The 21344-nt window shown below is 39.7% G+C and overlaps 1 annotated feature.

Annotated features, from left to right (window-relative positions):
- Positions 1 to 21344: part of a centromere (Linear centromere model derived predominantly from reads generated in PMID: 17803354. This region does not represent an actual centromere sequence, as long-range ordering of repeats and unmapped WGS contigs is not provided by the model. For details of model production, see http://arxiv.org/abs/1307.0035.) that runs on past both edges of the window.

Raw genomic sequence — 21344 nt, forward strand, 5'->3', positions numbered from 1 at the left:
TTGTCTTCAGATAAAATCTAGACAGAAGCATTCTCAGAAACTTCTTTGGGATGTTTGCATTCAAGTCACAGAGTAGAACATTCCCTTTGGTAGAGCAGGTTTGAAACACTCTTTTTGTAGTATCTGGAAGTGGACATTTGGAGCGCTTTCAGGCCCATGTTGGAAAGGGAAATATCTTCCCGTAACAACTAGGCAGAAGCGTTCTCAGAAACTTATTTGAGATGTGTGTACTCAAGTAAGAGAATTGAACCACCGTTTTGAAGGAGCAGTTTTGAAACACTCTTTTTCTGGAATCTGCAAGAGGATATTTGCCTAGCCTTGATGATTTCGTTGGAAACGGGATTGTCTTCAGATCAAATCTAGACAGAAGCATTCTCAGAAACTTCTTTGGGATGTTTGCATTCAAGTCACAGAGTAGAACATTCCCTTTGGTAGAGCAGGTTTGAAACAATCTTTTTGTAGTGTGTGTAAGTGGACATTTGGAGCGCTTTCAGGCCTACGTTGGAAAAGGAATTATCTTCCCATAACAACTAGACAGAAGCATTCTCAGAAACTAGTTTCTGATGTGTGTCCTCAACTAACACAGTTGAACTTTTCTTTAGACAGAACAGTTTTGAAACACTCTTTTTGTGGAATCTGCAAGTGGATATTTGGCTAGATTTGAGGATTTCGTTGGAAACGGGATTACATATAAAAAGCAGACTGCAGCATTCTCAGAAAGTTCTTTGTGGTGATTGCATTCAAGTCACAGAATTGAACATTCCCTTTCACAGAGCAGGTTTGAAACACTCTTTTTGTAGTGTGTGTAAGTGGACATTTGGAGCGCTTTCCGGCCTAAGGTGAAAAAGGAAATATCTTCCCATAAAAACTAGACAGAAGCATTCTCAGAAACTTACTCGTGATGTGTGTCCTCAACTAAAGGAGTAGAACCTTTCTATTCATAGAGAAGTTTTGAAAAGCTCTTTTTGTGGAATCTCCAAGTGGATATTTGGCTAGTTTTGAGGATTTCTTTGGAAGCGGGAATTCATACAAATTGCAGACTGCAGCGTTCTGAGAAACATCTTTGTGATGTTTGTATTCAGGACACAGAGATGAACATTCCCTATCATAGAGCAGGTTGGAATCACTCCTTTTGTAGTATCTGGAAGTGGACATTTGGAGCGCTTTCAGGCCTATGTTGAAAAAGGAAATATCTTCCCATAACAACTAGACACAAGCATTCTCAGAAACTTGTTTGTGATGTGTGCCCTCTACTGACAGAGTTGAACCTTTCTTTTCATAGAGCAGTTTTGAAACACTCTTTTTGTAGAATCTGCAAGAGGATATTTGCATAGCTTTGAGGATTTCGTGGGAAACGGGATTGTCTTCAGGTAAAATCTAGACAGAAGCATTCTCAGAAACTTCTTTGGGATGTTTACATTCAAGTCACAGAGTAGAACATTCCCTTTGGTAGAGCAGGTTTGAAACCCTCTTTTTGTAGTATCTGGAAGTGGACATTTGGAGCGCTTTCTGGCCCATGTTGCAAAAGGAAATATCTTCCCGTAACAACTAGGCAGAAGCATTCTCAGAAACTTATTTGAGATGTGTGTACTCAACTAAGAGAATTGAACCACCGTTTTGAAGGAGCAGTTTTGAAACCCTCTTTTTCTGGAATCTGCAAGAGTATATTTGCCTAGCCTTGAGGATTTCGTTGGAAACGGGATTGTCTTCAGATCAAATCTAGACAGAAGCATTCTCAGAAACTTCTTTGGGATGTTTGCATTCAAGTCACAGAGTAGAACATTCCCTTTGGTAGAGCAGGTTTGAAACACTCTTTTTTTAGTATATGGAAGTGGACATTTGGAGCACTTTCAGGCCTACGTTGGAAAAGGAAATATCTTCCCATAACAACTAGACAGAGAGCATTCTCAGAAACTAGTTTCTGATGTGTGTCCTCAACTAACACAGTTGAACTTTTCTTTAGACAGAACAGTTTTGAAACACTCTTTTTGTGGAATCTGCAAGTGGATGTTGGGCTAGATTTGAGGATTTCGTTGGAAACGGGATTACATATAAAAAGCAGACAGCAGCATTCTCAGAAAGTTCTTTGTGATGATTGCATTCAAGTCACAGAATTGAACATTCTCTTTAACAGAGCAGGTTTGAAACACTCTTTTTGTAGTGTGTGTAAGTGGACATTTGGAGCGCTTTCCGGCCTAAGGTGAAAAAGGACATATCTTCCCATAAAAACTAGACAGAAGCATTCTCAGAAACTTACTCGTGATGTGTGTCCTCAACTAAAGGAGTAGAACCTTTCTATTCATAGAGAAGTTTTGAAACGCTCTTTTTGTGGAATCTCCAAGTGGATATTTGGTTAGTTTTGAGGATTTCGTTGGAAGCGGGAATTCATACAAATTGCAGACTGCAGCGTTCTGAGAAACATCTTTGTGATGTTTGTATTCAGGACACAGAGATGAACATTCCCTATCATAGAGCAGGTTGGAATCACTCCTTTTGTAGTATCTGGAAGTGGACATTTGGAGCGCTTTCAGGCCTATGTTGAAAAAGGAAATATCTTCCCATAACAACTAGACACAAACATTCTCAGAAACTTGTTTGTGATGTGTGCCCTCTACTGACAGAGTTGAACCTTTCTTTTCATAGAGCAGTTTTGAAACACTCTTTTTGTAGAATCTGCAAGAGGATATTTGCATAGCTTTGAGGATTTCGTGGGAAACGGGATTGTCTTCAGGTAAAATCTAGACAGAAGCATTCTCAGAAACTTCTTTGGGATGTTTGCATTCAAGTCACAGAGTAGAACATTCCCTTTGGTAGAGCAGGTTTGAAACACTCTTTTTGTAGTATCTGGAAGTGGACATTTGGAGCGCTTTCAGGCCCATGTTGGAAAGGGAAATATCTTCCCGTAACAACTAGGCAGAAGCATTCTCAGAAACTTATTTGAGATGTGTGGACTCAACTAAGAGAATTGAACCACCGTTTTGAAGGAGCAGTTTTGAAACACTCTTTTTCTGGAATCTGCAAGAGTATATTTGCCTAGCCTTGAGGATTTCGTTGGAAACGGGATTGTCTTCAGATAAAATCTAGACAGAAGCATTCTCAGAAACTTCTTTGGGATGTTTGCATTCAAGTCACAGAGTAGAACATTCCCTTTGGTAGAGCAGGTTTGAAACACTCTTTTTTTAGTATATGGAAGTGGACATTTGGAGCGCTTTCAGGCCTACGTTGGAAAAGGAAATATCTTCCCATAACAACTAGACAGAAGCATTCTCAGAAACTAGTTTCTGATGTGTGTCCTCAACTAACACAGTTGAACTTTTCTTTAGACAGAACAGTTTTGAAACACTCTTTTTGTGGAATCTGCAAGTGGATATTGGGTTAGATTTGAGGATTTCGTTGGAAAGGGGATTACATATAAAAAGCAGACAGCAGCATTCTCAGAAAGTTGTTTGTGATGATTGCATTCAAGTCACAGAATTGAACATTCCCTTTCACAGAGCAGGTTTGAAACACTCTTTTTGTAGTGTGTGTAAGTGGACATTTGGAGCGCTTTCCGGCCTAAGGTGAAAAAGGACATATCTTCCCATAAAAACTAGACAGAAGCATTCTCAGAAACTTACTCGTGATGTGTGTCCTCAACTAAGGGAGTAGAACCTTTCTATTCATAGAGAAGTTTTGAAACGCTCTTTTTGTGGAATCTCCAAGTGGATATTTGCCTAGTTTTGAGGATTTCGTTGGAAGCGGGAATTCATACAAATTGCAGACTGCAGCATTCTCAGAAACTTGTTTATGCTGTATCTGCTCAACTAACAAAGTTGAACCTTTCTTTTGATAGAGCAGTTTTGAAATGCTCTTTTTGTGGAATCTGCAAGTGGATATTTGGCTAGTTTTGAGGATTTCGTTGGAAGCGGGAATTCATACAAATTGCAGACTGCAGCGTTCTGAGAAACATCTTTGTGATGTTTGTACTCAGGACACAGAGTTGAACATTCCCTATCATAGAGCAGGTTGGGATCACTCCTTTTGTAGTATCTGGAAGTGGACATTTGGAGCGCTTTCAGGCCTATGTTGAAAAAGGAAAAATCTTCCCATAACAACTAGACAGAAGCATTCTCAGAAACTTGTTGGTGATGTGTTTCCTCTACTGACAGAGTTGAACCTTTCTTTTCATAGAGCAGTTTCAAAACACTCTTTATGTAGAATCTGCAAGAGGATATTTGCATAGCTCTGAGGATTTCGTGGGAAACGGGATTGTCTTCAGGTAAAATCTAGACAGAAGCATTCTCAGAAACTTCTTCGGGATGTTTGCATTCAAGTCACAGAGTAGAACATTCCCTTTGGTAGAGCAGGTTTGAAACACTCTTTTTGTCGTATCTGGAAGTGGACATTTGTTGCGCTTTCAGGCCTATGTTGGAAAGGGAAATATCTTCCCGTAACAACTAGGCAGAAGCATTCTCAGAAACTTATTTGAGATGTGTGTACTCAACTAAGAGAATTGAACCACCGTTTTGAAGGAGCAGTTTGGAAACACTCTTTTTCTGGAATCTGCAAGAGGATATTTGCCTAGCTTTGAGGATTTCGTTGGAAAAGGGATTGTCTTCAGATCAAATCTAGACAGAAGCATTCTCAGAAACTTCTTTGGGATGTTTGCATTCAAGTCACAGAGTAGAACATTCCTTTGGTAGAGCAGGTTTGAAACACTCTTTTTTTAGTATATGGAAGTGGACATTTGGAGCGCTTTCAGGCCTACGTTGGAAAAGGAAATATCTTCCCATAACAACTAGACAGAAGCATTCTCAGAAACTAGTTTCTGATGTGTGTCCTCAATTAACACAGTTGAACATTTCTTTAGACAGAACAGTTTTGAAACACTCTTTTTGTGGAATCTGCAAGTGGATATTTGGCTAGATTTGAGGATTTCGTTGGAAACGGGATTACATATAAAAAGCAGACAGCAGCATTCTCAGAAACTTCTTTGTGATGATTGCATTCAAGTCACAGAATTGAACATTCCCTTTCACAGAGCAGGTTTGAAACACTCTTTTTGTAGTGTGTGTAAGTGGACATTTGGAGCGCTTTCCGGCCTAAGGTGAACAAGGAAATATCTTCCCATAAAAACTAGACAGAAGCATTCTCAGAAACTTACTCGTGATGTGTGTCCTCAACTAAAGGAGTAGAACCTTTCTTTTCATAGAGAAGTTTTGAAACGCTCTTTTTGTGGAATCTGCAAGTGGATATTTGGCTAGTTTGGAGGATTTCGTTGGAAGCGGGAATTCATACAAGATGCAGACTGCAGCGTTCTGAGAAACATCTTTGTGATGTTTGTATTCAGGACACAGAGTTGAACATTCCCTATCATAGAGCAGGTTTGAATCACTCCTTTTGTAGTATCTGGAAGTGGACATTTGGAGCGCTTTCAGGCCTATGTTGGAAAAGGAAATATCTTCCCATAACAACTAGACAGAAGCATTCCCAGAAACTTATTTGAGATGTGTGTACTCAACTAAGAGAATTGAACCACCGTTTTGAAGGAGCAGTTTGGAAACACTCTTTTTCTGGAATCTGCAAGTGGATATTTGGCTAGCTATGGGGATTTCGCTGGAAGCGGGAATACATATAAAAAGCACACAGCAGCGTTCTGAGAAACTGCTTTCTGATGTTTGCATTCAAGTCAAAAGTTGAACACTCCCTTTCATAGAGCAGTCTTGAAACACCCCTTTTGTAGTATCTGGAACTGGACATTTGGAGCGCTTTCAGGGCTAAGGTGAAAAAGGAAATATCTTCCCATAAAAACTGGACAGAAGCATTCTCAGAAACTTGTTTATGCTGTATCTGCTCAACTAACAAAGTTGAACCTTTCTTTTGATAGAGCAGTTTTGAAATGCTCTTTTTGTGGAATCTGCAAGTGGATATTTGGCTAGTTTTGAGGATTTCGTTGGAAGCGGGAATTCATACAAATTGCAGACTGCAGCGTTCTGAGAAACATCTTTGTGATGTTTGTATTCAGGACACAGAGTTGAACATTCCCTATCATAGAGCAGGTTGGGATCACTCCTTTTGTAGTATCTGGAAGTGGACATTTGGAGCGCTTTCAGGCCTATGTTGAAAAAGGAAAAATCTTCCCATAACAACTAGACAGAAGCATTCTCAGAAACTTGTTGGTGATGTGTTTCCTCTACTGACAGAAGTTGAACCTTTCTTTTCATAGAGCAGTTTCGAAACACTCTTTTTGTAGAATCTGCAAGAGGATATTTGCATAGCTCTGAGGATTTCGTGGGAAACGGGATTGTCTTCAGGTAAAACCTAGACAGAAGCATTCTCAGAAACTTCTTCGGGATGTTTGCATTCAAGTCACAGAGTAGAACATTCCCTTTGGTAGAGCAGGTTTGAAACACTCTTTTTGTCGTATCTGGAAGTGGACATTTGTTGCGCTTTCAGGCCTATGTTGGAAAGGGAAATATCTTCCCGTAACAACTAGGCAGAAGCATTCTCAGAAACTTATTTGAGATGTGTGTACTCAACTAAGAGAATTGAACCACCGTTTTGAAGGAGCAGTTTGGAAACACTCTTTTTCTGGAATCTGCAAGAGGATATTTGCCTAGCTTTGAGGATTTCGTTGGAAAAGGGATTGTCTTCAGATCAAATCTAGACAGAAGCATTCTCAGAAACTTCTTTGTGATGATTGCATTCAAGTCACAGAATTGAACATTCCCTTTCACAGAGCAGGTTGAAACACTCTTTTTGTAGTGTGTGTAAGTGGACATTTGGAGCGCTTTCAGGCCTACGTTGGAAAAGGAAATATCTTCCCATAACAACTAGACAGAAGCATTCTCAGAAACTAGTTTCTGATGTGTGTCCTCAACTAACACAGTTGAACATTTCTTTAGACAGAACAGTTTTGAAACACTCTTTTTGTGGAATCTGCAAGTGGATATTTGGCTAGATTTGAGGATTTCGTTGGAAACGGGATTACATATAAAAAGCAGACAGCAGCATTCTCAGAAACTTCTTTTTGATGATTGCATTCAAGTCACAGAATTGAACATTCCCTTTCACAGAGCAGGTTTGAAACACTCTTTTTGTAGTGTGTGTAAGTGGACATTTGGAGCGCTTTCCGGCCTAAGGTGAACAAGGAAATATCTTCCCATAAAAACTAGACAGAAGCATTCTCAGAAACTTACTCGTGATGTGTGTCCTCAACTAAAGGAGTAGAACCTTTCTTTTCATAGAGAAGTTTTGAAACGCTCTTTTTGTGGAATCTGCAAGTGGATATTTGGCTAGTTTGGAGGATTTCGCTGGAAGCGGGAATTCATACAAGATGCAGACTGCAGCGTTCTGAGAAACATCTTTGTGATGTTTGTATTCAGGACACAGAGTTGAACATTCCCTATCATAGAGCAGGTTTGAATCACTCCTTTTGTAGTATCTGGAAGTGGACATTTGGAGCGCTTTCAGGCCTATGTTGGAAAAGGAAATATCTTCCCATAACAACTAGACAGATAAGCATTCTCAGAAAACTTATTTGAGATGTGTGTACTCAACTAAGAGAATTGAACCACCGTTTTGAAGGAGCAGTTTTGAAACTCTCTTTTTCTGGAATCTGCAAGTGGATATTTGGCTAGCTTTGGGGATTTCGCTGGAAGCGGGAATACATATAAAAAGCACACAGCAGCGTTCTGAGAAACTGCTTTCTGATGTTTGCATTCAAGTCAAAAGTTGAACACTCCCTTTCATAGAGCAGTCTTGAAACACCCCTTTTGTAGTATCTGGAACTGGACTTTTGGAGCGATTTCAGGGCTAAGGTGAAAAAGGAAATATCTTCCCATAAAAACTGGACAGAAGCATTCTCAGAAACTTGTTTATGCTGTATCTACTCAACTAACAAAGTTGAACCTTTCTTTTGATAGAGCAGTTTTGAAATGGTCTTTTTGTGGAATCTGCAAGTGGATATTTGGCTAGTTTTGAGGATTTCGTTGGAAGCGGGAATTCATACAAATTGCAGACTGCAGCGTTCTGAGAAACATCTTTGTGATGTTTGTATTCAGGACACAGAGTTGAACATTCCCTATCATAGAGCAGGTTGGAATCACTCCTTTTGTAGTATCTGGAAGTGGACATTTGGAGCGCTTTCAGGCCTATTTTGGAAAGGGAAATATCTTCCCGTAACAACTATGCAGAAGCATTCTCAGAAACTTGTTTGTGATGTGTGCCCTCTACTGACAGAGTTGAACCTTTCTTTTCATAGAGCAGTTTTGAAACACTCTTTTTGTAGAATCTGCAAGAGGATATTTGCATAGCTTTGAGGATTTCGTGGGAAACGGGATTGTCTTCAGGTAAAATCTAGACAGAAGCATTCTCAGAAACTTCTTTGGGATGTTTGCATTCAAGTCACAGAGTAGAACATTCCCTTTGGTAGAGCAGGTTTGAAACACTCTTTTTGTAGTATCTGGAAGTGGACATTTGGAGCGCTTTCAGGCCTATGTTGGAAAGGGAAATATCTTCCCGTAACAACTAGGCAGAAGCATTCTCAGAAACTTATTTGAGATGTGTGTACTCAACTAAGAGAATTGAACCACGGTTTTGAAGGAGCAGTTTTGAAACACTCTTTTTCTGGAATCTGCAAGAGGATATTTGCCTAGCCTTGAGGATTTCGTTGGAAACGGGATTGTCTTCAGATCAAATCTGGACAGAAGCATTCTCAGAAACTTCTTTGGGATGTTTGCATTCAAGTCACAGAGTAGAACATTCCCTTTGGTAGAGCAGGTTTGAAACACTCTTTTTTTAGTATATGGAAGTGGACATTTGGAGCGCTTTCAGGCCTACTTTGGAAAAGGAAATATCTTCCCATAACAACTAGACAGAAGCATTCTCAGAAACTAGTTTCTGATGTGTGTCCTCAACTAACACAGTTGAACATTTCTTTAGACAGAACAGTTTTGAAACACTCTTTTTGTGGAATCTGCAAGTGGCTATTTGGCTAGATTTGAGGATTTCGTTGGAAACGGGATTACATATAAAAAGCAGACAGCAGCATTCTCAGAAAGTTCTTTGTGATGATTGCATTCAAGTCACAGAATTGAACATTCCCTTTCACAGAGCAGGTTTGAAACACTCTTTTTGTAGTGTGTGTAAGTGGACATTTGGAGCACTTTCCGGCCTAAGGTGAAAAAGGAAATATCTTCCCTTAAAAACTAGACAGAAGCATTCTCAGAAACTTACTCGTGATGTGTGTCCTCAACTAAAGGAGTAGAACCTTTCTTTTCATAGAGAAGTTTTGAAACGCTCTTTTTGTGGAATCTGCAAGTGGATATTTGGCTAGTTTTGAGGATTTCGTTGGAAGCGGGAATTCATACAAATTGCAGACTGCAGCGTTCTGAGAAACATCTTTGTGATGTTTGTATTCAGGACAGAGAGTTGAACATTCCCTATCATAGACCAGGTTGGAATCCCTCCTTTTGTAGTATCTGGAAGTGGACATTTGGAGCGCTTTCAGGCCTATGTTGGAAAAGGAAATATCTTCCCATAACAACTAGACACAAGCATTCTCAGAAACTTGTTTGTGATGTGTGCCCTCTACTGACAGAGTTGAACCTTTCTTTTCATAGAGCAGTTTTGAAACACTCTTTTTGTAGAATCTGCAAGAGGATATTTGCATAGCTTTGAGGATTTCATGGGAAACGGGATTGTCTTCAGGAAAAATCTAGACAGAAGCATTCTCAGAAACTTCTTTGGGATGTTTACATTCAAGTCACAGAATAGAACATTCCCTTTGGTAGAGCAGGTTTCAAACACTCTTTTTGTAGTATCTGGAAGTGGACATTTGGAGCGCTTTCAGGCCTATGTTGGAAAGGGAAATATCTTCCCGTAACAACTAGGCAGAAGCATTCTCAGAAACTTATTTGAGATGTGTGTACTCAACTAAGAGAATTGAACCACCGTTTTGAAGGACCAGTTTTGAAACACACTTTTTCTGGAATCTGCTAGAGGATATTTGCCTAGCTTTGAGGATTTCGTTGGAAACGGGATTGTCTTCAGATAAAATCTAGACAGAAGCATTCTCAGAAACTTCTTTGGGATGTTTGCATTCAAGTCACAGAGTAGAACATTCCCTTTGGTAGAGCAGGTTTGAAACACTCTTTTTGTAGTATCTGGAAGTGGACATTTGGAGCGCTTTCAGGCCTATGTTGGAAAGGGAAATATCTTCCCGTAACAACTAGGCAGAAGCATTCTCAGAAACTTATTTGAGATGTGTGTACTCAACTAAGAGAATTGAACCACCCTTTTGAAGGAGCAGTTTTGAAACACTCTTTTTCTGGAATCTGCAAGAGGATATTTGCCTAGCCTTGAGGATTTCGTTGGAAACGGGATTGTCTTCAGATCAAATCTAGACAGAAGCATTCTCAGAAACTTCTTTGGGATGTTTGCATTCAAGTCACAGAGTAGAACATTCCCTTTGGTAGAGCAGGTTTGAAACACTCTTTTTTTAGTATATGGAAGTGGACATTTGGATCGCTTTCAGGCCTACGTTGGAAAAGGAAATATCTTCCCATAACAACTAGACAGAAGCATTCTCAGAAACTAGTTTCTGATGTGTGTCCTCAACTAACACAGTTGAACATTTCTTTAGACAGAACAGTTTTGAAACACTCTTTTTGTGGAATCTGCAAGTGGCTATTTGGCTAGATTTGAGGATTTCGTTGGAAACGGGATTACATATAAAAAGCAGTCAGCAGCATTCTCAGAAAGTTCTTTGTGATGATTGCATTCAAGTCACAGAATTGAACATTCCCTTTCACAGAGCAGGTTTGAAACACTCTTTTTGTAGTGTGTGTAAGTGGACATTTGGAGCACTTACCGGCCTAAGGTGAAAAAGGAAATATCTTCCCATAAAAACTAGACAGAAGCATTCTCAGAAACTTACTCGTGATGTGTGTCCTCAACTAAAGGAGTAGAACCTTTCTTTTCATAGAGAAGTTTTGAAACGCTCTTTTTGTGGAATCTGCAAGTGGATATTTGGCTAGTTTTGAGGATTTCGTTGGAAGCGGGAATTCATACAAATTGCAGACTGCAGCGTTCTGAGAAACATCTTTGTGATGTTTGTATTCAGGACACAGAGTTGAACATTCCCTATCATAGAGCAGGTTGGAATCACTCCTTTTGTAGTATCTGGAAGTGGACATTTGGAGCGCTTTCAGGCCTATGTTGGAAAAGGAAATATCTTCCCATAACAACTAGACAGAAGCATTCTCAGAAACTTATTTGAGATGTGTGTACTCAACTAAGAGAATTGAACCACCGTTTTGAAGGAGCAGTTTTGAAACACTCTTTTTCTGGAATCTGCAAGTGGATATTTGGCTAGCTTTGGGGATTTCGCTGGAAGCGGGAATACATATAAAAAGCACACAGCAGCGTTCTGAGAAACTGCTTTCTGATGTTTGCATTCAAGTCAAAAGTTGAACACTCCCTTTCACAGAGCAGTCCTGAAACACTCCTTTTGTAGTATCTGGAACTGGACTTTTGGAGCGCTTTCAGGGCTAAGGTGAAAAAGGAAATATCTTCCCATAAAAACTGGACAGAAGCATTCTCAGAAACTTGTTTATGCTATATCTACTCAACTAACAAAGTTGAACCTTTCTTTTGATAGAGCAGTTTGAAATGCTCTTTTTGTGGAATCTGCAAGTGGATATTTGGCTAGGTTTGAGGATTTCGTTGGAAGCGGGAATTCATACAAATTGCAGACTGCAGCGTTCTGAGAAACATCTTTGTGATGTTTGTATTCAGGACACAGAGTTGAACATTCCCTATCATAGAGCAGGTTGGAATCACTCCTTTTGTAGTATCTGGAAGTGGACATTTGGAGCGCTTTCAGGCCTATTTTGGAAAGGGAAATATCTTCCCGTAACAACTATGCAGAAGCATTCTCAGAAACTTGTTTGTGATGTGTGCCCTCTACTGACAGAGTTGAACCTTTCTTTTCATAGAGCAGTTTTGAAACACTCTTTTTGTAGAATCTGCAAGAGGATATTTGCATAGCTTTGAGGATTTCGTGGGAAACGGGATTGTCTTCAGGTAAAATCTAGACAGAAGCATTCTCAGAAACTTCTTTGGGATGTTTGCATTCAAGTCACAGAGTAGAACATTCCCTTTGGTAGAGCAGGTTTGAAACACTCTTTTTGTAGTATCTGGAAGTGGACATTTGGAGCGCTTTCAGGCCTATGTTGGAAAGGGAAATATCTTCCCGTAACAACTAGGCAGAAGCATTCTCAGAAACTTATTTGAGATGTGTGTACTCAACTAAGAGAATTGAACCACCGTTTTGAAGGAGCAGTTTTGAAACACTCTTTTTCTGGAATCTGCAAGAGGATATTTGCCTAGCCTTGAGGATTTCGTTGGAAACGGGATTGTCTTCAGATCAAATCTAGTCAGAAGCATTCTCAGAAACTTCTTTGGGATGTTTGCATTCAAGTCACAGAGTAGAACATTCCCTTTGGTAGAGCAGGTTTGAAACACTCTTTTTTTAGTATATGGAAGTGGACATTTGGAGCGCTTTCAGGCCTACGTTGGAAAAGGAAATATCTTCCCATAACAACTAGACAGAAGCATTCTCAGAAACTAGTTTCTGATGTGTGTCCTCAACTAACACAGTTGAACATTTCTTTAGACAGAACAGTTTTGAAACACTCTTTTTGTGGAATCTGCAAGGGGCTATTTGGCTAGATTTGAGGATTTCGTTGGAAACGGGATTACATATAAAAAGCAGTCAGCAGCATTCTCAGAAAGTTCTTTGTGATGATTGCATTCAAGTCACAGAATTGAACATTCCCTTTCACAGAGCAGGTTTGAAACACTCTTTTTGTAGTGTGTGTAAGTGGACATTTGGAGCGCTTTCCGGCCTAAGGTGAAAAAGGAAATATCTTCCCATAAAAACTAGACAGAAGCATTCTCAGAAACTTACTCGTGATGTGTGTCCTCAACTAAAGGAGTAGAACCTTTCTATTCATAGAGAAGTTTTGAAACGCTCTTTTTGTGGAATCTCCAAGTCGATATTTGGCTAGTTTTGAGGATTTCGTTGGAAGCGGGAATTCATCCAAATTGCAGACTGCAGCGTTCTGAGAAACATCTTTGTGATGTTTGTATTCAGGACACAGAGATGAACATTCCCTATCATAGAGCAGGTTGGAATCACTCCTTTTGTAGTATCTGGAAGTGGACATTTGGAGCGCTTTCAGGCCTATGTTGAAAAAGGAAATATTTTCCCATAACAACTAGACACAAGCATTCTCAGAAACTTGTTTGTGATGTGTGCCCTCTACTGACAGAGTTGAACCTTTCTTTTCATAGAGCAGTTTTGAAACACTCTTTTTGTAGAATCCGCAAGAGGATATTTGCATAGCTTTGAGGATTTCGTGGGAAACGGGATTGTCTTCAGGTAAAATCTAGACAGAAGCATTCTCAGAAACTTCTTTGGGATGTTTGCATTGAAGTCACAGAGTAGAACATTCCCTTTGGTAGAGCAGGTTTGAAACACTCTTTTTGTAGTATCTGGAAGTGGACATTTGGAGCGCTTTCAGGCCCATGTTGGAAAGGGAAATATCTTCCCGTAACAACTAGGCAGAAGCATTCTCAGAAACTTATTTGAGATGTGTGTACTCAACTAAGAGAATTGAACCACCGTTTTGAAGGAGCAGTTTTGAAACACTCTTTTTCTGGAATCTGCAAGAGTATATTTGCCTAGCCTTGAGGATTTCGTTGGAAACGGGATTGTCTTCAGAGAAAATCTAGACAGAAGCATTCTCAGAAACTTCTTTGGGATGTTTGCATTCAAGTCACAGAGTAGAACATTCCCTTTGGTAGAGCAGGTTTGAAACACTCTTTTTTTAGTATATGGAAGTGGACATTTGGAGCGCTTTCAGGCCTACGTTGGAAAAGGAAATATCTTCCCATAACAACTAGACAGAAGCATTCTCAGAAACTAGTTTCTGATGTGTGTCCTCAACTAACACAGTTGAACATTTCTTTAGACAGAACAGTTTTGAAACACTCTTTTTGTGGAATCTGCAAGTGGCTATTTGGCTAGATTTGAGGATTTCGTTGGAAACGGGATTACATATAAAAAGCAGTCAGCAGCATTCTCAGAAAGTTCTTTGTGATGATTGCATTCAAGTCACAGAATTGAACATTCCCTTTCACAGAGCAGGTTTGAAACACTCTTTTTGTAGTGTGTGTAAGTGGACATTTGGAGCACTTACCGGCCTAAGGTGAAAAAGGAAATATCTTCCCATAAAAACTAGACAGAAGCATTCTCAGAAACTTACTCGTGATGTGTGTCCTCAACTAAAGGAGTAGAACCTTTCTTTTCATAGAGAAGTTTTGAAACGCTCTTTTTGTGGAATCTGCAAGTGGATATTTGGCTAGTTTTGAGGATTTCGTTGGAAGCGGGAATTCATACAAATTGCAGACTGCAGCGTTCTGAGAAACATCTTTGTGATGTTTGTATTCAGGACACAGAGTTGAACATTCCCTATCATAGAGCAGGTTGGAATCACTCCTTTTGTAGTATCTGGAAGTGGACATTTGGAGCGCTTCAGGCCTATGTTGGAAAAGGAAATATCTTCCCATAACAACTAGACAGAAGCATTCTCAGAAACTTATTTGAGATGTGTGTACTCAACTAAGAGAATTGAACCACCGTTTTGAAGGAGCAGTTTTGAAACTCTCTTTTTCTGGAATCTGCAAGTGGATATTTGGCTAGCTTTGGGGATTTCGCTGGAAGCGGGAATACATATAAAAAGCACACAGCAGCGTTCTGAGAAACTGCTTTCTGATGTTTGCATTCAAGTCAAAAGTTGAACACTCCCTTTCATAGAGCAGTCTTGAAACACCCGTTTTGTAGTATCTGGAACTGGACTTTTGGAGCGATTTCAGGGCTAAGGTGAAAAAGGAAATATCTTCCCATAAAAACTGGACAGAAGCATTCTCAGAAACTTGTTTATGCTGTATCTACTCAACTAACAAAGTTGAACCTTTCTTTTGATAGAGCAGTTTTGAAATGGTCTTTTTGTGGAATCTGCAAGTGGATATTTGGCTAGTTTTGAGGATTTCGTTGGAAGCGGGAATTCATACAAATTGCAGACTGCAGCGTTCTGAGAAACATCTTTGTGATGTTTGTATTCAGGACACAGAGTTGAACATTCCCTATCATAGAGCAGGTTGGAATCACTCCTTTTGTAGTATCTGGAAGTGGACATTTGGAGCGCTTTCAGGCCTATTTTGGAAAGGGAAATATCTTCCCGTAACAACTATGCAGAAGCATTCTCAGAAACTTGTTTGTGATGTGTGCCCTCTACTGACAGAGTTGAACCTTTCTTTTCATAGAGCAGTTTTGAAACACTCTTTTTGTAGAATCTGCAAGAGGATATTTGCATAGCTTTGAGGATTTCGTGGGAAACGGGATTGTCTTCAGGTAAAATCTAGACAGAAGCGTTCTCAGAAACTTCTTTGGGATGTTTGCATTCAAGTCACAGAGTAGAACATTCCCTTTGGTAGAGCAGGTTTGAAACACTCTTTTTGTAGTATCTGGAAGTGGACATTTGGAGCGCTTTCAGGCCCATGTTGGAAAGGGAAATATCTTCCCGTAACAACTAGGCAGAAGCATTCTCAGAAACTTATTTGAGATGTGTGTACTCAACTAAGAGAATTGAACCACCGTTTTGAAGGCGCAGTTTTGAAACACTCTTTTTCTGGAATCTGCAAGAGTATATTTGCCTAGCCTTGAGGATTTCGTTGGAAACGGGATTGTCTTCAGAGAAAATCTAGACAGAAGCATTCTCAGAAACTTCTTTGGGATGTTTGCATTCAAGTCACAGAGTAGAACATTCCCTTTGGTAGAGCAGGTTTGAAACACTCTTTTTTTAGTATATGGAAGTGGACATTTGGAGCGCTTTCAGGCCTACGTTGGAAAAGGAAATATCTTCCCATAACAACTAGACAGAAGCATTCTCAGAAACTAGTTTCTGATGTGTGTCCTCAACTAACACAGTTGAACATTTCTTTAGACAGAACAGTTTTGAAACACTCTTTTTGTGGAATCTGCAAGTGGCTATTTGGCTAGATTTGAGGATTTCGTTGGAAACGGGATTACATATAAAAAGCAGTCAGCAGCATTCTCAGAAAGTTTTTTGTGATGATTGCATTCAAGTCACAGAATTGAACATTCCCTTTCATAGAGCAGGTTTGAAACACTCTTTTTGTAGTGTGTGTAAGTGGACATTTGGAGCGCTTTCCGGCCTAAGGTGAAAAAGGACATATCTTCCCATAAAAACTAGACAGAAGCATTCACAGAAACTTACTCGTGATGTGTGTCCTCAACTAAAGGAGTAGAACCTTTCTATTCATAGAGAAGTTTTCAAACGCTCTTTTTGTGGAATCTCCAAGTGGATATTTGGCTAGTTTTGAGGATTTCGTTGGAAGCGGGAATTCATACAAATTGCAGACTGCAGCGTTCTGAGAAACATCTTTGTGATGTTTGTATTCAGGACACAGAGATGAACATTCCCTATCATAGAGCAGGTTGGAATCACTCCTTTTGTAGTATCTGGAAGTGGACATTTGGAGCGCTTTCAGGCCCTATGTTGAAAAAGGAAATATCTTCCCATAACAACTAGACACAAGTATTCTCAGAAACTTGTTTGTGATGTGTGCCCTCTACTGACAGAGTTGAACCTTTCTTTTCATAGAGCAGTTTTGAAACACTCTTTTTGTAGAATCTGCAAGAGGATATTTGCATAGCTTTGAGGATTTCGTGGGAAACGGGATTGTCTTCAGGTAAAATCTAGACAGAAGCATTCTCAGAAACTTCTTTGGGATGTTTGCATTCAAGTCACAGAGTAGAACATTCCCTTTGGTAGAGCAGGTTTCAAACACTCTTTTTGTAGTATCTGGAAGTGGACATTTGAAGCGCTTTCAGGCCTATGTTGGAAAGGGAAATATCTTCCCGTAACAACTAGGCAGAAGCATTCTCAGAAACTTATTTGAGATGTGTGTACTCAACTAAGAGAATTGAACCACCGTTTTGAAGGCGCAGTTTTGAAACACTCTTTTTCTGGAATCTGCAAGAGTATATTTGCCTAGCCTTGAGGATTTCGTTGGAAACGGGATTGTCTTCAGATAAAATCTAGACAGAAGCATTCTCAGAAACTTCTTTGGGATGTTTGCATTCAAGTCACAGAGTAGAACATTCCCTTTGGTAGAGCAGGTTTGAAACACTCTTTTTTTAGTATATGGAAGTGGACATTTGGAGCGCTTTCAGGCCTACGTTGGAAAAGGAAATATCTTCCCATAACAACTAGACAGAAGCATTCTCAGAAACTAGTTTCTGATGTGTGTCCTCAACTAACACAGTTGAACTTTTCTTTAGACAGAACAGTTTTGAAACACTCTTTTTGTGGAATCTGCAAGTGGATACTGGGCTAGATTTGAGGATTTCGTTGGAAACGGGATTACATATAAAAAGCAGTCAGCAGCATTCTCAGAAAGTTCTTTGTGATGATTGCATTCAAGTCACAGAATTGAACATTCCCTTTCACAGAGCAGGTTTGAAACACTCTTTTTGTAGTGTGTGTAAGTGGACATTTGGAGCGCTTTCCGGCCTAAGGTGAAAAAGGACATATCTTCCCATAAAAACTAGAGAGAAGCATTCTCAGAAACTTACTCGTGATGTGTGTCCTCAACTAAAGGAGTAGAACCTTTCTATTCATAGAGAAGTTTTGAAACGCTCTTTTTGTGGAATCTCCAAGTGGATATTTGGCTAGTTTTGAGGATTTCGTTGGAAGCGGGAATTCATACAAATTGCAGACTGCAGCGTTCTGAGAAACATCTTTGTGATGTTTGTATTCAGGACACAGAGATGAACATTCCCTATCATAGAGCAGGTTGGAATCACTCCTTTTGTAGTATCTGGAAGTGGACATTTGGAGCGCTTTCAGGCCTATGTTGAAAAAGGAAATATCTTCCCATAACAACTAGACACAAGCATTCTCAGAAACTTGTTTGTGATGTGTGCCCTCTACTGACAGAGTTGAACCTTTCTTTTCATAGAGCAGTTTTGAAACACTCTTTTTGTAGAATCTGCAAGAGGATATTTGCATAGCTTTGAGGATTTCGTGGGAAACGGGATTGTCTTCAGGTAAAATCTAGACAGAAGCATTCTCAGAAACTTCTTTGGGATGTTTGCATTCAAGTCACAGAGTAGAACATTCCCTTTGGTAGAGCAGGTTTGAAACACTCTTTTTGTAGTATCTGGAAGTGGACATTTGGAGCGCTTTCAGGCCCATGTTGGAAAGGGAAATATCTTCCCGTAACAACTAGGCAGAAGCATTCTCAGAAACTTATTTGAGATGTGTGTACTCAACTAAGAGAATTGAACCACCGTTTTGAAGGAGCAGTTTTGAAACACTCTTTTTCTGGAATCTGCAAGAGTATATTTGCCTAGCCTTGAGGATTTCGTTGGAAACGGGATTGTCTTCAGATAAAATCTAGACAGAAGCATTCTCAGAAACTTCTTTGGGATGTTTGCATTCAAGTCACAGAGTAGAACATTCCCTTTGGTAGAGCAGGTTTGAAACACTCTTTTTTTAGTATATGGAAGTGGACATTTGGAGCGCTTTCAGGCCTACGTTGGAAAAGGAAATATCTTCCCATAACAACTAGACAGAAGCATTCTCAGAAACTAGTTTCTGATGTGTGTCCTCAACTAACACAGTTGTACATTTCTTTAGACAGAACAGTTTTGAAACACTCTTTTTGTGGAATCTGCAAGTGGATATTGGGCTAGATTTGAGGATTTCGTTGGAAACGGGATTACATATAAAAAGCAGTCAGCAGCATTCTCAGAAAGTTCTTTGTGATGATTGCATTCAAGTCACAGAATTGAACATTCCCTTTCACAGAGCAGGTTTGAAACACTCTTTTTGTAGTGTGTGTAAGTGGACATTTGGAGCGCTTTCCGGCCTAAGGTGAAAAAGGACATATCTTCCCATAAAAACTAGACAGAAGCATTCTCAGAAACTTACTCGTGATGTGTGTCCTCAACTAAAGGAGTAGAACCTTTCTATTCATAGAGAAGTTTTGAAACGCTCTTTTTGTGGAATCTCCAAGTGGATATTTGGCTAGTTTTGAGGATTTCGTTGGAAGCGGGAATTCATACAAATTGCAGACTGCAGCGTTCTGAGAAACATCTTTGTGATGTTTGTATTCAGGACACAGAGATGAACATTCCCTATCATAGAGCAGGTTGGAATCACTCCTTTTGTAGTATCTGGAAGTGGACATTTGGAGCGCTTTCAGGCCTATGTTGAAAAAGGAAATATCTTCCCATAACAACTAGACACAAGCGTTCTCAGAAACTTGTTTGTGATGTGTGCCCTCCACTGACAGAGTTGAACCTTTCTTTTCATAGAGCAGTTTTGAAACACTCTTTTTGTAGAATCTGCAAGAGGATATTTGCATAGCTTTGAGGATTTCGTGGGAAACGGGATTGTCTTCAGGTAAAATCTAGACAGAAGCATTCTCAGAAACTTCTTTGGGATGTTTGCATTCAAGTCACAGAGTAGAACATTCCCTTTGGTAGAGCAGGTTTGAAACACTCTTTTTGTAGTATCTGGAAGTGGACATTTGGAGCGCTTTCAGGCCTATGTTGGAAAGGGAAATATCTTCCCGTAACAACTAGGCAGAAGCATTCTCAGAAACTTATTTGAGATGTGTGTACTCAACTAAGAGAATTGAATCACCGTTTTGAAGGAGCAGTTTTGAAACACTCTTTTTCTGGAATCTGCAAGAGGATATTTGCCTAGCCTTGAGGATTTCGTTGGAAACGGGATTGTCTTCAGATCAAATCTAGACAGAAGCATTCTCAGAAACTTCTTTGGGATGTTTGCATTCAAGTCACGGAGTAGAACATTCCCTTTGGTAGAGCAGGTTTGAAACACTCTTTTTTTAGTATATGGAAGTGGACATTTGGAGCGCTTTCAGGCCTACGTTGGAAAAGGAAATATCTTCCCATAACAACTAGACAGAAGCATTCTCAGAAACTAGTTTCTGATATGTGTCCTCAACTAACACAGTTGAACATTTCTTTAGACAGAACAGTTTTGAAACACTCTTTTTGTGGAATCTGCAAGTGGCTATTTGGCTAGATTTGAGGATTTCGTTGGAAACGGGATTACATATAAAAAGCAGACAGCAGCATTCTCAGAAAGTTCTTTGTGATGATTGCATTCAAGTCACAGAATTGAACATTCCCTTTCACAGAGCAGGTTTGAAACACTCTTTTTGTAGTGTGTGTAAGTGGACATTTGGAGCACTTTCCGGCCTAAGGTGAAAAAGGAAATATCTTCCCATAAAAACTAGACAGAAGCATTCTCAGAAACTTACTCGTGATGTGTGTCCTCAACTAAAGGAGTAGAACCTTTCTTTTCATAGAGAAGTTTTGAAACGCTCTTTTTGTGGAATCTGCAAGTGGATATTTGGCTAGTTTGGAGGATTTCGTTGGAAGCGGGAATTCATACAAATTGCAGACTGCAGCGTTCTGAGAAACATCTTTGTGATGTTTGTATTCAGGACACAGAGTTGAACATTCCCTATCATAGAGCAGGTTGGAATCACTCCTTTTGTAGTATCTGGAAGTGGACATTTGGAGTGCTTTCAGGCCTATGTTGGAAAAGGAAATATCTTCCCATAACAACTAGACAGAAGCATTCTCAGAAACTTATTTGAGATGTGTGTACTCAACTAAGAGAATTGAACCACCGTTTTGAAGGAGCAGTTTTGAAACACTCTTTTTCTGGAATCTGCAAGTGGATATTTGGCTAGCTTTGGGGATTTCGCTGGAAGCGGGAATACATATAAAAAGCACACAGCAGCGTTCTGAGAAACTGCTTTCTGATGTTTGCATTCAAGTCAAAAGTTGAACACTCCCTTTCATAGAGCAGTCTTGAAACACTCCTTTTGTAGTATCTGGAACTGGACTTTTGGAGCGATTTCAGGGCTAAGGTGAAAAAGGAAATATCTTCCCATAAAAACTGGACAGAAGCATTCTCAGAAACTTGTTTATGCTGTATCTACTCAGCTAACAAAGTTGAACTTTCTTTTGATAGAGCAGTTTTGAAATGGTCTTTTTGTGGAATCTGCAAGTGGATATTTGGCTAGTTTTGAGGATTTCGTTGGAAGCGGGAATTCATACAAATTGCAGACTGCAGCGTTCTGAGAAACATCTTTGTGATGTTTGTATTCAGGACACAGAGTTGAACATTCCCTATCATAGAGCAGGTTGGAATCACTCCTTTTGTAGT

The sequence above is a fragment of the Homo sapiens genome, chromosome 18 (assembly GCF_000001405.40).
Source record: "Homo sapiens chromosome 18, GRCh38.p14 Primary Assembly".
In the NCBI taxonomy this organism is placed as follows: Eukaryota; Metazoa; Chordata; class Mammalia; order Primates; family Hominidae; genus Homo; species Homo sapiens.